Below are 15,988 nucleotides of genomic sequence, written 5' to 3'. Positions count from 1 at the left end.
TTGTGCAAGCTGGGAGTGGGACGGTGACAGCCTCCCCTCCCCCTCCCCCTAGATCCGATCTGTGATCAGGAGGAGCTGGGAGTCTGGCCACGCACACCCCATGTCCCGGGAGCCCTCCCCTCGCCGCCGGCTGGACCCTGCCACCTTGAGCAGGACCCCATCCCAGGAACAGCTCATCGCGGAGCTGCAGGGGCGGCTGGGCATCCAGCCTGAGGCAGAGGAGCCGGCGGAGGCGGCGGGGCCCTCTGCCCAGGACTGGCTGACCGAGGGCGTCATCATCACTGTGCAGCCACGTGGGAAGCGGGCCGGGGGGCAGCTCGTAGAGAAGGTGGCGAGGAGATGCCCATGGCTGGGGCTGGGCCAGAGCCAAGCACCTGGGGTCCGGGTTCTTCCCTGGCCCCAGTGCTGGCCGGAGGGGAGATCTGGGGAGAGGGTGGGGGTTTCTTGCCTCCTGTGACTTTGGAAGACTGGCCCCACTCTTGGTGCAGAGTGGGAAGGCCCAGGGGGAGCCTGGGGAGGTCCCGCCACCCCTGTGGGCTGAGCTGGCGATTTCTTCCTCATCGCTCTCCCTCCTTTCTTCTCCCCAGGTTGTCTTCCCTCCTGGCTCTCCCATTCCCCTGAGAAGAACCATCTCTGTCCTGGCTTCTCCTTCTGTCCCTTTGCTCCAGCATCGCACAGACGCCGCGGCCAGCAGCTCTTCTCCCCTGCCCAGCCTGCTCGCCTCCTCCCCCCTGGGGCCCTCAGCTTATACCTGTGGTTCTTCTGGGGTCCAGAGTGCAGGGGAAGAGCCCCATGATGAGGGGGTGCAGGGCCCTGCCCTTCCCATTCCTGCACCCCACACCATGAGGTCCGTGGGCTGCCAGACTGATGAGGACCCGCTCTTCCCCCCGATGCAGGCAGGCCTTAAAGGAGCCCCTCCCTTTCTGTCCCCTGTCCTAATGCCTGAGCCATCCCCCACTCTGCACACACACACGTGCACACACACATACACAGATACCCTCCATCCCTCCATCTACAAGCCCCAGCACAGTAACCACAGTCCTGCCGTAAACCTTGACCCCGGTCTTCCCCCACTCAGAAGGTCCGCTGCCCTCTTGCTTTTCTGTGGGTCCACCCATGTCTGCTCCTTCCTCGACTGGTCCTCAGTACTGCCCCGGGCTCCCATCGAGGAAAGAAGCCACTCCAGAAGGGAGACCAGAAACCTGTCTCCTCCCTTCCAGCCCCCAGGCCCAGCGCCCGGTGAGGCCTCATCACTGAGCCCGGCCACCTCCCCTTGCCATTTCCTCTGCCTTTGGTCGACTCCCCTCCCTGTCCTTCTTCCTTTCTCCCTAGGCCTCTCTCTCAGGGCTCTTTTTCTCCAGATTTTTTCCCCCAATTTTGGTCCTGCCGGTGGGGGAGAAACCCTCAGATCTCATCCTAGATTCCCTTTTAGTCCAGTGACAAGGTCTTGTATTCTTTCTTAATTTTTAAAAAAGATTTCTTACCCTCATCTCTTCCCCTATCTAAGATCCAGGGCCTGGAGCAAAGAGCGGATGGGGAGCGGTGCTGGGCGGCCGGCTGGCCTCGGGACGGCGGGCGGAGCAGCCCCGGAGGGCAGGACGAGGGAGGGGTCAGTGCCAAGGCTGGGCTGGGTGTCCTGCGTGTCGTGCTCTCCCTGGGCTTGGCCATGCCTGCTGGGTGCCCTCAGCCTTTCCGACCCTGGTGGGCCCCTCCGACCACCAGGAGTCCTGCTGACGTCACTCCCACTTTAGGGCTCCTGGCCCCTGGAGGAGGTTGTACTTCTTGTCTCCATCAGCTCATCTGTCCAGGAGGGAGAAAAGTACCCCCATCCCTGTGCTGCCAGACACCGTACCCCGAGCCTCAGGAGTCCTGACCAGCCCCCTCCGTGTCCACAGTTCATGGCCCAGGGGAAGACAGGGAGCAGCTCACCCCCTGGGGGGCCCCCGAAGCCCGGGAGCCAGCTGGACAGCATGCTGGGGAGCCTGCAGTCTGACCTGAACAAGCTGGGGGTCGCCACAGTCGCCAAAGGAGTCTGCGGGGCCTGCAAGAAGCCCATCGCCGGGCAGGTGATGAGGGGGAGTGGGCAGGGGTGTGGCCAGTGGACTCCTGCAGGGGTGGGGGTGCTCCGGGGCTGGCCTTGGCCCTGGACCGCATTCCATCTCCTCCTCAGGTTGTGACCGCCATGGGGAAGACGTGGCACCCCGAGCACTTCGTCTGCACCCACTGCCAGGAGGAGATCGGATCCCGGAACTTCTTCGAGCGGGATGGACAGCCCTACTGTGAAAAGGACTACCACAACCTCTTCTCCCCGCGCTGCTACTACTGCAACGGCCCCATCCTGGATGTGAGTTCCTCATCCGGCACCGCGCCCGCTTCCGCTCATTCCAGCTTCACCGCAGCCCTCTGAGGATGCAGGGGGTGCCGTGGGAGGCTCAGAGAGGTCACATGCCCGAGGCTCACAGGGCTAGGGAACAGTGGGGCCGGATTCACAGCCACACCTGAACCACAGCCTGTCCCGATGTGCATCGGGCAGCCCCACCTCCCTTCACCTCCCATCTCGATTCCTTTCTGTGGAGACTCCCAGGACTCAGGAGCCCTGAGGAGATAAATGGAGTTGGATGCCAGCGGCCTCACTCTCCCTCTCTGTGAACTTAGGAAATGCCTGGCCTCTCTGAGCCTATGTTTCTTCACTTATAAAATGGGAGTCATAGAACTTGTGCCCTCTACTTGGGGTGAGGAGTAGAGGAGAGGGTATGTGTCTGGCTTGTCCCATCCTGAGTAACTCTGAATTCTTAGAGGCATTCACAGCACAATTAGGAGAGACCCCCATCTTGGGAGTGTTTTGCTCTGTCTATGGCTATGAGCTGCGGGTGGAAGGACGGCCTTGCTGGGCGTCTCAGTTGTGAGATCTGCCCAGAGCTCAGCCTTGATCCCACATTTTGCTTTCACAGAAAGTGGTGACAGCCCTTGACCGGACGTGGCACCCTGAACACTTCTTCTGTGCACAGTGTGGAGCCTTCTTTGGTCCCGAAGGTACGGGCTGGACCGGCGGACTGACCCACCGCCTCTTAGGAGGGCCGGGGAGGTGGGGGTGGGAGACGCTGCTGAGGTTGGAGTCAGAGTGGCTCCACTTCTGGAAGCCGGAATGAACTGTGCCTCCAAAACCCCCGCTCCCCAGGGTTCCACGAGAAGGACGGCAAGGCCTACTGTCGCAAGGACTACTTCGACATGTTCGCACCCAAGTGTGGCGGCTGCGCCCGGGCCATCCTGGAGAACTATATCTCAGCCCTCAACACGCTGTGGCATCCTGAGTGCTTTGTGTGCCGGGTAAGGAGCCCCTGACCACATCTGGAGGGGCGAGGAGCAGGCAGTGGGGAGAGAGGGGTCTTCCTCATTGTGCTGTCTGGATCCAACTCAGAGGCCTCATTTGGGGTTATTAATTGGGGGAGCAGGCAGGGGATCTCCTTCCTCCAGTCCAGTAGGTCCTGGGCCAGGGTTTGTACTGAGGCTGGGACAAACCAGGAGCAAGGTAGACATGTCCCCCAGTCCAGCCCTGTGCAGCGGCCCTGGGCCATTCCTATTTGGGAGGAGAGTGTGTGAGAACTAAATGAGATAATGCAAGTATTTAGCAGACTCAACAGAAATGGGCAGTGGTTTCCAAAACCACTGCATTCTGGGGGCCCCACAGGGGTTATTAATGATTCAACAAGGGCTCTCTGACCAAATGAGTTTGGGAAACACTGTTCCCTGCAGGACTTCTCAGAGCCTTTTCTTTTCTTTTCTTTTTTTGAGACGGAGTCTCACTCTGTTGCCCAGACTGGTGTGCAGTGGCACGATCTTGGCTGACTGCAACCTCTGCCTGCTGAGTTCCAGTGATTCTCCCGCCTCAGCCTCCCAAGTAGCTGAGATTACAGGCACACGCCCCCATGCCTGGCTAATTTTTTGTATTTTCAGTAGAGACGGGGTTTCACCATGTTGGCCAAGCTGGTCTTGAACTCCTGACCTCAGGTGATCCGCCTCCCTTGGCCTCCCAAAGTGCTGGGATTACAAGTGTGAGCCACCTCACCCGGCCCCTCTCAGAGCCTTTTCTACCTATATGTGATGTGAATCTCCAATGAGAATCTAGGAGGCAGAGTTTGACTACAGACCAGTGTCACACCTGTGTTTCTGGGAACACTGTTACAGCCACCTGGCTAAGTGCTCAGGAGTCAGACCTGTGTATGAATCCAGGCTGTGACCTCAGTAGCTGCATGACCCTGGGCAAGTTACTTCACCTGTGTGCTTCAGTTGCCTCCCCTGTTGGGAGAACTAAATAATCCCAGCCCTGTGGGAGGCCGAGGTGGGAGGATTGCAGGAGGCCACATTTGACCAGCATGGGCAATATAGTGAGACCCCCATCTCTACAAAAAAAATTTATTTAATAAAATAAAAATGAAAAATGAGCGTTTAGGACAACACGGCACATGGGAAACGCCTAGCAAGTAGGAGTCACTCCGAGCGTGCCGACTATGCCCACCTCGGCCCCATCACACAGGGTGCAGCTCTAGCCCGAGGGGCAGCTCCCTGAGCCCCTCTCTCCGCCTGGCAGGAATGCTTCACGCCATTCGTGAACGGCAGCTTCTTCGAGCACGACGGGCAGCCCTACTGTGAGGTGCACTACCACGAGCGGCGCGGCTCGCTGTGTTCTGGCTGCCAGAAGCCCATCACCGGCCGCTGCATCACCGCCATGGCCAAGAAGTTCCACCCCGAGCACTTCGTCTGTGCCTTCTGCCTCAAGCAGCTCAACAAGGGCACCTTCAAGGAGCAGAACGACAAGCCTTACTGTCAGAACTGCTTCCTCAAGCTCTTCTGCTAGGTGCCCTGCCCCTGTCTCTGCCCCCCTTCCCCAGCCAGCATCCCCAACTGCGACTGTGACCTAGAGACTTCACCCGGGGGTGAAGGGGTAAACCCGACTGAAACTGGAACCCTTGTCCTCCGCTGGTGCGGGATGGACAGAGGGCCGTGAGGGGTCCCCCTGCTTGTCTTCACCCCTGCCAGAGCCTCTGGGCCCCCTCCTCCCTCCTGTAGCTCTCCCTAGGCTGCCCACTCTCCATCCTCCCCAGGGGTAGAGGCTGGGGGCTCCACCCCAGCCCATGTACGTCCCCACGAACTGGCCTGGCCAGCACCCCACACTGGAGCCATCTCTTCCTCATATTTCAGCAGTGCAGCCGGGGGGCAGGGAAGGGCAGGCAGGGTCTGTTGGGGTCTCTTTTTATCCTTATTCCTCCCCCGACCTAATTGTCTTTGTTCTGTGATTATTGGGGGACACCCGGCTCCCTCCAGACAATGCCAGCATAAATCCATCCATCCAAAGGCAGAGAACCAAAGGGGCCATGGAAGGTTCTCTGTGCTCCTCCTACCCTTCCAGTGCCCTAGGCCTGGCGACTGCCCCTGCCTTTTAGACCCGCCCTCCCCTTTTATACCTGCTCTTGTTCTACTGAGAAAAGCCTCTCCAGCAATAATGTTTTCTAGTCACTTCCTCCGTCTCCGGGACGGCGTGCCTGGACACTGTACCGACTTTGATAGATTTCTACACTGAGGTTTGAATTCATATCGCCTGAGTTGCTTTTACTTCTCTATACAAAATGATTTTGAAGAGATTTTAAAGACGTTCCCTTTTGTATTCTCTTCCTCATCCACCGCCACTGGGCCTGTCACTGATGGTGGCTCTGGTGTGAAGTTTGCTTTGTACTGAGGGTTGGGGTGGGGAAGCAATTTGTATTTTATTGTTTCTTAGCACAAGCAGGTGAACTGGGAGCAGCTCTGTGACTCCCCCTCTTTCACTTCATAGCTCACCAGGACTGTTTTATAAACTGCTGTATTTGGAAACCCCTTCTTTACTTCCCAGGCCAGCAAGCTCTTCACTGAAACTGGTTGAAGGGTGTTGCACCCTTTTGGGCCTAGAATTCTGAACTTTATCTGTTCTGTTTCTGTGGGAGGAGAAGGGGAAGTATGTTTTGGGGGGCTGCTTCCTGTCTGAGTAAGCCCTCAGGAGCCTCTGCTCCCCTGTGAACCCACTGAACCTTCTGAGCCCCCACTGCTTCTATGGGGCTCTCTCTTCTGCCTTCTCAGGAAAGCTGGTGTCTGATTTTGGCCATCAGGACTCTGACGTCTCTTTGGTCTTGTTGATTTCCTCTGGGCATATCCCTTCCCCAGATCTGCTCCTCCCCTTTCACAGGTGGGATCGGCACTCAGGGGGTCTGGAAAGAAGGTCATAAGGGAGCATGATAGGATTTGGGGCAGAGGGACAGGCTCCTCTGGGGAAACCCCCCAGAGCTCTTTACCAAGGATGAAAGAGGAGCCAGGCCTTGGGCTCCTGATGAGGAGAAAGGGGCCCCACCGGGGTCTAATGGTGACAGTCCAAACCACTCCACTGGCCTCCTGGCAGAAGCCGAGTGTGCTGGGGTCTCCGAAGAGGGTCCCTCCTTTTTGGGGGAAGGTCAGCCCAGCCCCTCCAAAGGTCTGATGTCTCCACTTTCACCCGCAGGCCTTACCGCTCTGTTTATAGTGACCCACCCTAGATCTTCCCCAAGAGGGACTGGGGTTTCTGGGGTCCATTCTCTGAGTCAGTGGTTATTTGAAAATTTGATTTTGATTTTATTTTTTCTCTGTAAACTTCCAAGCTGGCTTTTCCCATTTCAATTCCTGTGATTTATGCCAATAAAGTTTGCCCATGATTTTCACCTGTGCTAGTGCTATTTCTTGGTGGTCTGAACCTCATGGTCCCAGCAGAGACCAAACCCACCCCAGATGCAGCTGGATCACCAGATGGAGGGTAAATTGTGGATGTTTCCTTTCTTGAGGTCAAAATCCCTGGGGCTGGGGTCCGTGGTCCTTGCCTGTGGTCACAGGTCCTCCCCGTGGGCTTTGCTCCTGCCTGGGCAGTTGGTGAGGACAGGCTGGGGAGCAGCGGGATGGGGCCCTGTGGGGCAGGGCCTGCCCAGGGTGTGATCACCTGGGTTTACCAAGGGCATCCTCACTCACGGGCTTGTGGGTGGCTTTCCACTCATTTAGAAGTAGGGAAAGAGGCTCTAGGACAAGAACCTACATGTACAAGGCAATCTGAGTGAGGGCAGAGCCATGATGCGGACCCAGGGCTTGCCTCTGCCTGTGTTCCTGCACAGAACCAGACGCGGCCGTGCCTGAGCCCACACAACGTGGGTTAGCCCCTTCCCTGCCGAAGGCAGTTACTTACAGTTGAGGATGGGTCTCTACTGCCTCCTCGTCGTCATGTCCGGATTTGCGTGCTTCCTCTTTGCTCCGGTCAGATCCAGAGCTCCAGTCCTAGGCCCTAGAGCAGGGATGTCCAATTTTTTTTTTTTTTTTGAGATAGAGTCTCACTCTGCCCAGGCTGGAGTACAGTGGCATGATCTCGGTTCACTGCAACCTCCACCTCCCAGGTTCAAGGGATCCTCCTGCCTCAGCCTCCTGAGTAGCTAGGATTACAGGCAGCTGCCACCACACCCGGCTAATTTTTGTATTTTTAGTAGAGCCAGGGTTTCACCATGTTGGCCAGGCTGGTCTCAAACTCCTGATCTCAAGTGATCTGCCTTGGCTCCCAAAGTGCTGGAATTACAGGCGTAAGCCACCACTCCTGGCTTTTTTTTTTTTTTTTGAGATGGAGTCTCACTCTGTCATCCAAGCCAGAGTGTAGTGGCACGATCTCGGTTCACTGCAGCCTCTACCTCCTGGGTTCAAGCAATTATCATGCCTCAGCCTCCCAAGTAGCTGGGATTACAGGTGCCCACCACCACACCCGGGTAATTTTTGTATTTTTAGTAGAGCCAGGGTTTTACCATGTTGGCCAGGCTGGTCTCAAACTGCTGATCCCAAGTGATCTGCCTGCCTCGACCTCCCAAAGTGCTGGGATTACAGGCATGGGCCACTGCGCCCAGCTGGGTGTCCAATCTTTTGGCTTCCTTGGGGCCATGTTGGAAAAAGAAGAATTGCCTTGGGCCACACATAAAATACACTAATGATAGCTGATGAACTAGAAAAAAAATAATAAAATCACAAATCTCATAATGTTTTAAGAAAGTTTACAAATTTGCCCTGTAATTCCAGCACTTTGGGAGGCCGAGACGGGCAGATCATGAGGTCAGGAGATCGAGACCATCCTGGCTAACACGGTGAAACCCCGTTTCTACTAAAAATACAAAAAATTAGCCAGGCATGGTGGCGGGCGCCTGTAATCCCAGCTACTCGGGAGGCTGAGGCAGGAGGATGGCATGAACCCGGGAGGTGGAGCTTGTAGTGAGCCAAGATCACGCCACTGCACTCCAGCCTGGGCGAGAGAGCGAGACTCCGTCTCAAAAAAAAAAAAAAAAAAAAAAAGAAAGTTTACAAATTTGCATTAGGCCAAATTCAAAACTATCCTGGGCCGCATGTGGCCCACAGGCCATGGATTGGACAAGCTTGTCCTAGAGCTTCCTGGGCAGTTTTGTTTAACCTTGAGCTGTGTCTTCACAGCTTCCCTGTTGTTTGGAACGGTTCTCCAAAAGCAGCATGTTGAATTCTAGTTTAAACTCTTCCCATGCTATAGTGAGCTCAGAAGTGAAAATTACCTTCAACGCTCACCCAAAGAGAATGATGGGGCCAGGCTCTGTGGCTCATGCCTGTAATCCTAGCATTTTGGGAGGCCAAGGTGGGAGGATCATTTGAGCCCAGGAGTTCAAGAGAATAACTTGGTTTATTCTTCCAGCCCATGTTGGATTTATTTTATTTCTAGAAATGGGTATGGTATATTTCCTTTTTTTTCTTTTTTTTTTTTTTTTTTGAGATGGCATCTCACTCTGTCACCCAGGTTGGAGTGCAGTGGCGCGATCATGGCTCACTGCAACCTCTGCCCCCCAGGTTCAAGCGATTCTCCTGCCTCAGCCTCCTGAGTAGCTGGGATTACAGGCACCCGCCACCACGCCAGGCTAATTTTTATACTTTTAGTAGAGACGGGGTTTCTCCATGTTGGCCAGGCTGGTCTCGAACTCCTGATCTCAAATGATCCACCCTCCTCGACCTCCCAAAGTGCTGGGATTACAGGCGTGAGCCACCATGCCCGGCCAGGTATGGTATATTTCACTGTAATGTGCTTTTCGCTTTGCTTTGTGGATATTTTCCCATGTCAATAAATATAGATCTGTACCATTTTCTAATGGCTTCATGGTATTCCGTTATATTGATGTACTACAATTAGAGATGATATTTATATCATCAGAGCCAGGAGGTCCTTGGAAATGTACCTTGTGCATATGTATATACTTGGAAAAGTGCGTTCAGAGGGAGGCTGACTCAGGGTTTGGAATGGACTGTATAGCACAGTGAGGCCCAGGGGCTTTGAACTTCCTCCTAGATTTCAGTTCTGAAGCCTTCACTTACTGGCTGAGAGACTTGGGCAAATTATTTAACCTTCCTGTGAGTATTCTCATCGATAAAATGGGAGTACTGACAGTACTGTATCTCCTCAGAGGATTGTTGCAAAGATTAGCTTCAGTAATGTGCACAGAGTACTTAGGACAATACGAAGTGTGCAGTAATACATTGCCATTAAAAAGAGATCTCGGGTGTCCGCGGGTTGCCGAATGGAGCTGAGCATCTTGATGGAACCAGGGATCTCAGGGTGAAGACTGAAGCCCTAGGCTATGGCGGAAGTTGGGTGCCTGAAGTACAAGTGGAAATATGCCAACTGAACATTGGACCACCACAGCCTGCCCCCTGGCTCAGCGCCCAGTGCCAACAGAACACCTTTCAGGATCCACAGCAAGGCAGACAACGGAATCCACACAGGCTTCCATTCTCAAAAGGCCATCAAAACATAACTGCCGGCCGGCCACGGTGGCTCATGCCTGTAACCCCAGAACTTTGGGAGGCCGAGGCCGACAGATCACTTGAGCTCAGGAGTCCAAGACTAGCCTGGCGAACATGGTGAAACCCTGTCTCTACTAAAAATACAAAAAGTTAGCTGGGTGTGGTGGTGGGTGCCGGTAATCCCAGCTACTCTGGAGGCTGAGGCAGAAGAATTGCTTGAACCCAGGAGGCGGAGGTTGCAGTGAACTGAGATTGCACCATTGCACTCCAGCCTGGGCGACAGAGCGAGGCTCCATCTCAAAAAAAATAAAATAAAATAAAATAAAAATTAACTGCTGACGAGACAATTTATATTTCCTTCCCCTCACTACACTCCCTGAATGTTCTGGATCAGTGTGTCTCACACCTTTGGATCTTACAAGCTAGTTGGGAAAGTTCTATGGAGAAGGCAAAGATTTTGAAGGCACAGGAGACTATCATAGACACTCACAATGATCATAGATAGTAGTATCATAGTACCATAGATACTCCCAATGATCATAGATAGTAGTATCATAGTACCATAGATACTCTCAATGATCATAGATAGTAGTAGCATAGTATCATAGATACTCACAATGACATCTCCCTAAAGGATTCAAAAGCTTTGCATCAACCAAAGGAAAAGCACCAGTGAGAGTCAAGATACAGTTCCAGACAGATGCTACCTCTGATTGTAAAGGTGTCCAGGTCTTGTGCTTATGATGTGCTCACATCAGTGCCGGAAACGATGAAGACAAAGAGACTGGAAGGAAGAACATGACAGTTTAGTGAGTACTAAGTATTGTCAGTTAGATCGGGGTCCCTAACTCTCAGGCCAAGGACCAGTACTGGTCTGTGGCCTGTTAGGAACTGGGCCGCACATCAGGAGGCAAGCAGCAGGCGAGTGAGTGAGCTTGTCGTCCTGTCAGATCAGCAGCAGCATTAGATTCTCACAGGAGCGCGAACCCTATTGCAAACTGCATACGAGGGATCTAGGTTGCACGCTCCTTATGAGAATCTAATGCCTGATGATCTGAGGTAGAAGTTTCATCCCCAAATCACACTCCCCTCTGATCCCTGGTGTCTGTGGAAAAATTGTCTTCCACAAAACTGGTCCCTGTTGCCAAAAAGGTTGGGGACTGCTGAGTTAGATCGTAACACTTAACCCTGATAACTCTGTGAGGCAAGGTTTGTTCGGCCCAATAAAAAGCAGAAATATGGGTCAAATCTAGGTTCAAAGTTGATGCTCATTCTACGATACATACTGCCTCTTTCAACAGGTATCCTAATAAGTACCTTCCTGGAGAGTTTTGTTGCTATATGACTTTCTGTAATTACTTTCTTTTCTTTTTTTTTTTTTTGTGACGGAGTCTCACTCTAAATAGTCGATATTTTAAGCCCTTCCTGGAGAGTTTTGTTGCTATATGACTTTCTGTAATTACTTTCTTTTCTTTTTTCTTTTTTTTTTTTTTTTGTGATGGAGTCTCACTCTAAATAGTCGATATTTTAAGCTTTGGGGATCACACAGTCTCTGTTGTAACCACTCATTTGTGACAGCCATAGACAATGTGTAAACGAATAGGTGAGCAAGGCTATGTCCCAATAAAACTTTATTTATTTATTTATTTATTTATTTATTGAGATGGGGTCTTGCTCTGTCGCCCAGGCTGGAGTGCAGTGGCACAGTCTCAGCGCACTGCAAGCTCAGCCTCCTGGGTTCACGCCATTCTCCTGCCTCAGCCTCCTGAGTAGCTGGGACTACAGGCGCCTGCCACCATGCCTGGCTAATTTTTTGTATTTTTAGTGGAGACGGGGTTTCACCGTGTTAGCCAGGATGGTCTCGATCTCCTGACCTCGTGATCTACCCACCTCGGCCTCCCAAAGTGCTGGGATTACAGGTGTGAGCCACTGTGCCTGGCCTATTTATTTACTTTTATTTTATTATTATTTTTTTGAGATGGAGTCTTGCTCTGTCACCAGGCTAGAGTGCAGTGGCACAATCTTGGCTCACTGCAACCTCCATCCCCTGGGTTCAAGCAATTCTCCAGCCTCAGCCTCCGGAGTAGCTGGGATTACAGGCGGCTGCCACCGAGCCCGGCTAATTTTTGTATTTTTAGTGGAGACAGGGTTTCACCATCTTGGCCAGGCTGGTCTTGAACTCCTGACCTCGTGATCCACCCGCCTCGGCCTCCCAAAGTGCTGGGATTACAAGCGTGAGCCACTGCGCCCGGCCACAACTTTATCTACAGAAACAGACAGTAGCCATATTTGGCCCATGAGCTATAGTTTGGCAAACCCTTGTGATATACCAAAGACAGTCATTTTTGACATATTTCAGTCTGCATAGTTTCAGAGTGCTCTGACTCCTGTAATTCTTGCAACTCCCTAGTTCTGTATCCTGCAGTGATTCCCCAGTCTCCCTCACCATAGAAGCCTCCATGTTTTAACGTAACAAAGCCTTGGAAACAAGGGTGTGAGCCAAGGACTCGAGCTTGTGCCCACCATGGTGAAATTTGCGTCATTAGAAGAATATTTACAGCTGGGCACGGTGGCTCACGCCTGTAATCCCAGCGCTTTGGGAGGCTGAGGCGGGCAGATCACCTGAGGTCAGGAGTTCGAGATCAGCCTGACCAACGTGGAGAAACCCCATCTCTACTAAAAATAAAAAAAATTAGCCCGGTGTGGTGGCGCATGCCTGTAATCCCAGCTACTCAGGAGGCTGAAGCAGGAGAATCGCTTGAACCTGGGAGGCGGAGGTTGTGGTGAGCTAAGATCACGCCATCGCACTCCAGCCTGGGCAACAAGAGTGAAACTCCATCTCAAAAAACACAAAAAATTTACAAAGGACTTTAGAGAAATCAGAGTCAGTACCCTACTGCTTGCAACAGAGCTAGCCCTGTGGTAGGAAATCTCATACAGTGGGTAGGCTCTAATTTCAGAGAATAAGAACCTGGCCTCCCACAGAGGTCTCAGTTGGAGCTACTGATTTATGGTAGAACAAGATGAGATTGACAGCACTTGAGCTACCCGTATCTAAATTCTGTTCAGGGAATTTTATGCCAGTCAGCTGCACCAATATACCCTGCCATGCAAGTGTCTTGGTTTTAAACCTGCTACCGCCACCACCCCCCGCCCCGCCCACCACTTTACCAAATTATTCATGTTGGCCTGATTTTCTTACTCTTCCATCTTTTCTGGCATTTTTTGGGGTGTGTGTGTGTGTGTGTGTGTGTGTGTGTGTGTGTAGCTGCTTTAGAGACATTCTGCCACCTTTCTGGACTTCGCTCGATCAGGGAGAGTAGGCAGATTGTGATTGGAATCTTTTTTTTTTTTTTTTTTTTTTTGAGACAGAGTCTCTCTCTGTCACCCAGGCTGGAGTGCAGGGGCACAATCTCGGCTCACTGCAAGCTCCGCCTCCCGGGTTCACCCCATTCTCCTGCCTCAGCCTCCCAAGTAGCTGGGATTACAGGCACATGCCACCACGCCCGGCTAGTTTTTTATATTTTTAGTAGAGATGGGGTTTCACTGTGTTAGACAGGATGGTTTCGATCTCCTGACCTCGTGATCCGCCCACCTCAGCCTCCCAAAGTGCTGGGATTACAGGCGTGAGCCACCGCACCTGGAGTGATTGGAATCTTAATAACCTGTCAAAACAGCATTTAAATCTCATTCATGTTATTTTCCATCCTTCCCATGGAACACAGATAGCCAAGAAGACAAATAAAAGAGACCCCAGGCCAGGCACAGTGGCTCACGCCTGTAATCCCAGCACTTTGGGAGGCTGAGCTGGGTGGATCACCTGAGGTCAGGAGTTCGAGACCAGCATGACCAAAATGGAAAAACCCCGTATCTACTAAAAATACAAAATTAGCCGGGCATGGTGGCACATGCCTATAATCCCAGCTACTCAGGAGGCTGTGGCAGGAGAATCACTTGAACCCGGGAGGTGGAGGTTGTGGTGAGCCGAGATTACGCCATTGCACTCTACCCTGGGCAACAAGAGTGAAATTCTGTCTCAAAAAAAAAAAAAAAAAAAGAAAAGAAAAGAAAAAAGAAAAGAAAAAGAAATACAGTAACGTGAAATCGAGCTACTTCTAACTTTTTTTTTTTTTTTTGAGACGGAATCTTGCTCTGTCACCTAGGCTGGAGTACAGTGGCGCAATCTCAGCTCACTGCAACCTCTGCCTCCTGGGCTCAAGCAATTCTCCTGCCTCAGCCTCCCAAGTAGCTGGAATTACAGGAGCCCGCCACCACTCCTGGCTAACTTTTGGTATTTTTTAGTAGAGACGGGGTTTCACTGTGTTAGCCAGGATGGTCTGGATCTCCTGACCTCGTGATCTGCCCACCTCAGCCTCCCAAAGTGCTGGGATTACAGGCATGAGCCCCCGCACCCGGCCTACTTCTGACAGTTTTATGGTGTGTGATATAGGATATAACATGATGTATGAAGCTCTTTGTAATAATTTTTAATTTTGAAATAGCTGATTCTTTGGGGATCATTTAATACATAATTCCATAGGTTTCAGTGAAAAAAAAAAAAAAAAAGAGATCTCAGGGTTGGGCAAGGTGTCTCATTCTTGTAATCCCAGCAATTTAGGAGGCCAGGGTGGGAGGATTGCTTGAGCCCAGAAGTTTGACATCAGCCTAGGCAACATGGCAAGACCCCATCTATACAAAAAGTACAAAAAATTAGCTTGGCGTGGTGGTGTGTGCCTGTAGTCCTAGCTACTTGGGAGGCTGAGGTGGGAGGATCACTTCAGCCTGGGAGGTCAAGTCTGCAATGAACTGAGATTGCTCCACTACACTCTAGCCTGGGCAACGGAGTGAGACTGCTTCTCAAAAAAAAAAAAAAAAAAAAAAAAAAAAAAAAAAGATTTGATGGAGGTGAATTATTCTATGGATGTTTGTTGGCTAGTTTTCTAGGAAGAGGGAATGGCTAATGCAAAAGCCCCCAAGTAAAGCCTGCTCTGGAAAAGCAGCAGAGCATCATCTGGGTAGAAAGCAAGTAAGTGAGGAGGAAAACATCTGAGATGATCAGAGTGGGCGTGAGGGACAGATAGGTAAGGGCCTTGTAGGTACTTTAGGTTTTAGATTTTTACTCTGTAGGAAACGGAAAGTTTTAAGCAGATAAGGAGATGAGCTGACTTAGGTTTTTTTTTTTTTTTTTTTTTTTTTGAGATGGAGTCCCTCTCTGTCACCCAGGCTAGAGTGCAATGGTGTGATCTTAGCTCACTGCAGAGCTCACAGCTCCCGGGTTCAAGCGATTCTTCTGCCTCGGCCTCCTGAGTAGCTGGGATTACGGGCATGCGCCACCCCACCTGGCTAATTTTTGTATTTTTAGTAGAGACGGGGTTTTGCCATGTTGGCCAGGCTAGTCTCGAACTCCTGACCTCAGGTGATCCACCCGCCTCGTCCTCCCGAAGTGCTGGGAGTATAGGCGTGAGCCACCGCGCCCGGCCAGGTTTTAAAGGATCCCTCTGTTTTGGTAGGCGGAAAAACTAGAGAAGACGAGAGACCATTCTGAGGCCGGGCGCGGCGGGTCACGCCTGTAATCCCAGCACTTTGGGAGGCCGAGGCGGGCAGATCACGAGGTCAGGAGATCGAGACCATCCTGGAGAACATGATGAAACCCCGTCTCTACTAAAAATACAAAAAAAAAATTAGCCGAGCACGGTGGCGGGCGCCTGTAGTCCCAGCTACTCCGGAGGCTGAGGCAGGAGAATGGCGTGAACCCGGGAGGCGGAGCTTGCAGTCAGCCGAGATGGCGCCACTGCGCTCCAGCCTGGGCGACAGAGCGACACTCCGTCTCAAAAAAAAAAAAAAAAAGAGAAACCATTCTGTTTCTAAGCATGTGCAATTATGTCTCAGCTCCACGTCATACCTTTTAGTTTGCTGAGCTCGCCAGGTGGCACAGGGAACCGGGACTCCGAATTCGCAGCTCCAGCTCCAGCTCCAGCCCAGCAGGTGGCAGCAGCTCAGAGCAAGCTCCTCCAACGCGAGGCAGCGCCTTCCTTCGCGACCCTACTTAAAGGCGGCTTTCCGTTGGCTGGAGTGGCAGCGATATTATCCAATGGTTGCCTGTATTCGTTCAGCTTTGTCTGACGGGCGATGGCGCAGCCAATAGACA

General features: G+C 52.2%; 1 protein-coding gene and 1 long non-coding RNA gene across 39 annotated transcripts in view, besides 3 other annotated features; one reads left to right on the top strand and one right to left on the bottom strand.

Annotated features, from left to right (window-relative positions):
* The window catches only part of PXN (paxillin), a 55,284-nt gene extending 48,562 nt beyond the window's left edge, over window positions 1–6,722 (top strand). For 6 of the 38 annotated variants that reach the window (NM_001080855.3, NM_001410986.1, XM_047429244.1 and 3 more), the window contains 6 exons: window positions 1,508–1,609; window positions 1,896–2,066; window positions 2,171–2,344; window positions 2,952–3,033; window positions 3,179–3,327; window positions 4,589–6,722. In NM_001080855.3, the coding sequence (NP_001074324.1) occupies window positions 1,508–1,609; window positions 1,896–2,066; window positions 2,171–2,344; window positions 2,952–3,033; window positions 3,179–3,327; window positions 4,589–4,855 (945 nt within the window). In that variant the 3' untranslated portion in view covers window positions 4,856–6,722. Of the gene's footprint in view, window positions 1–52; window positions 329–587; window positions 1,240–1,507; window positions 1,610–1,751; window positions 2,067–2,170; window positions 2,345–2,951; window positions 3,034–3,178; window positions 3,328–4,534 lie in introns of those variants that run through there. The other 32 variants (NM_002859.4, NM_001385985.1, NM_025157.5 and 29 more) reach the window with 17 other exon arrangements.
* Window positions 439–1,165: an enhancer, noted in NCBI's record as "H3K4me1 hESC enhancer chr12:120653807-120654533 (GRCh37/hg19 assembly coordinates)". NCBI's record gives its function as "activates a minimal SCP1, AML or CMV promoter by ChIP-STARR-seq in naive H9 embryonic stem cells {active_cell/tissue: H9 hESC(naive)}" and the evidence as "EXISTENCE:reporter gene assay evidence [ECO:0000049][PMID:30033119]".
* On the bottom strand, window positions 4,341–15,878 carry PXN-AS1 (PXN antisense RNA 1). The gene is made up of 4 exons (NR_038924.1): window positions 15,743–15,878; window positions 10,548–10,624; window positions 7,235–7,330; window positions 4,341–4,794 (listed from the first exon to the last, which is right to left on the bottom strand). It is a non-coding gene; the product is annotated as a PXN antisense RNA 1 (long non-coding RNA).
* Window positions 12,009–12,303: an enhancer, noted in NCBI's record as "tiled region #12439; K562 Activating DNase matched - State 5:Enh". NCBI's record gives its function as "activates a minimal TATA promoter and a strong SV40 promoter by Sharpr-MPRA in K562 cells {active_cell/tissue: K562}" and the evidence as "EXISTENCE:reporter gene assay evidence [ECO:0000049][PMID:27701403]".
* Window positions 15,543–15,902: an enhancer, noted in NCBI's record as "active region_7134". NCBI's record gives its function as "activates an Ori minimal core promoter by ATAC-STARR-seq in GM12878 lymphoblastoid cells {active_cell/tissue: GM12878}" and the evidence as "EXISTENCE:reporter gene assay evidence [ECO:0000049][PMID:35858748]".

This window comes from Homo sapiens, chromosome 12, assembly GCF_000001405.40.
Source record: "Homo sapiens chromosome 12, GRCh38.p14 Primary Assembly".
In the NCBI taxonomy this organism is placed as follows: Eukaryota; Metazoa; Chordata; class Mammalia; order Primates; family Hominidae; genus Homo; species Homo sapiens.
Note: the sequence above shows the minus strand (reverse complement) of the source record. Positions and strands in the feature narration are given on the sequence as shown.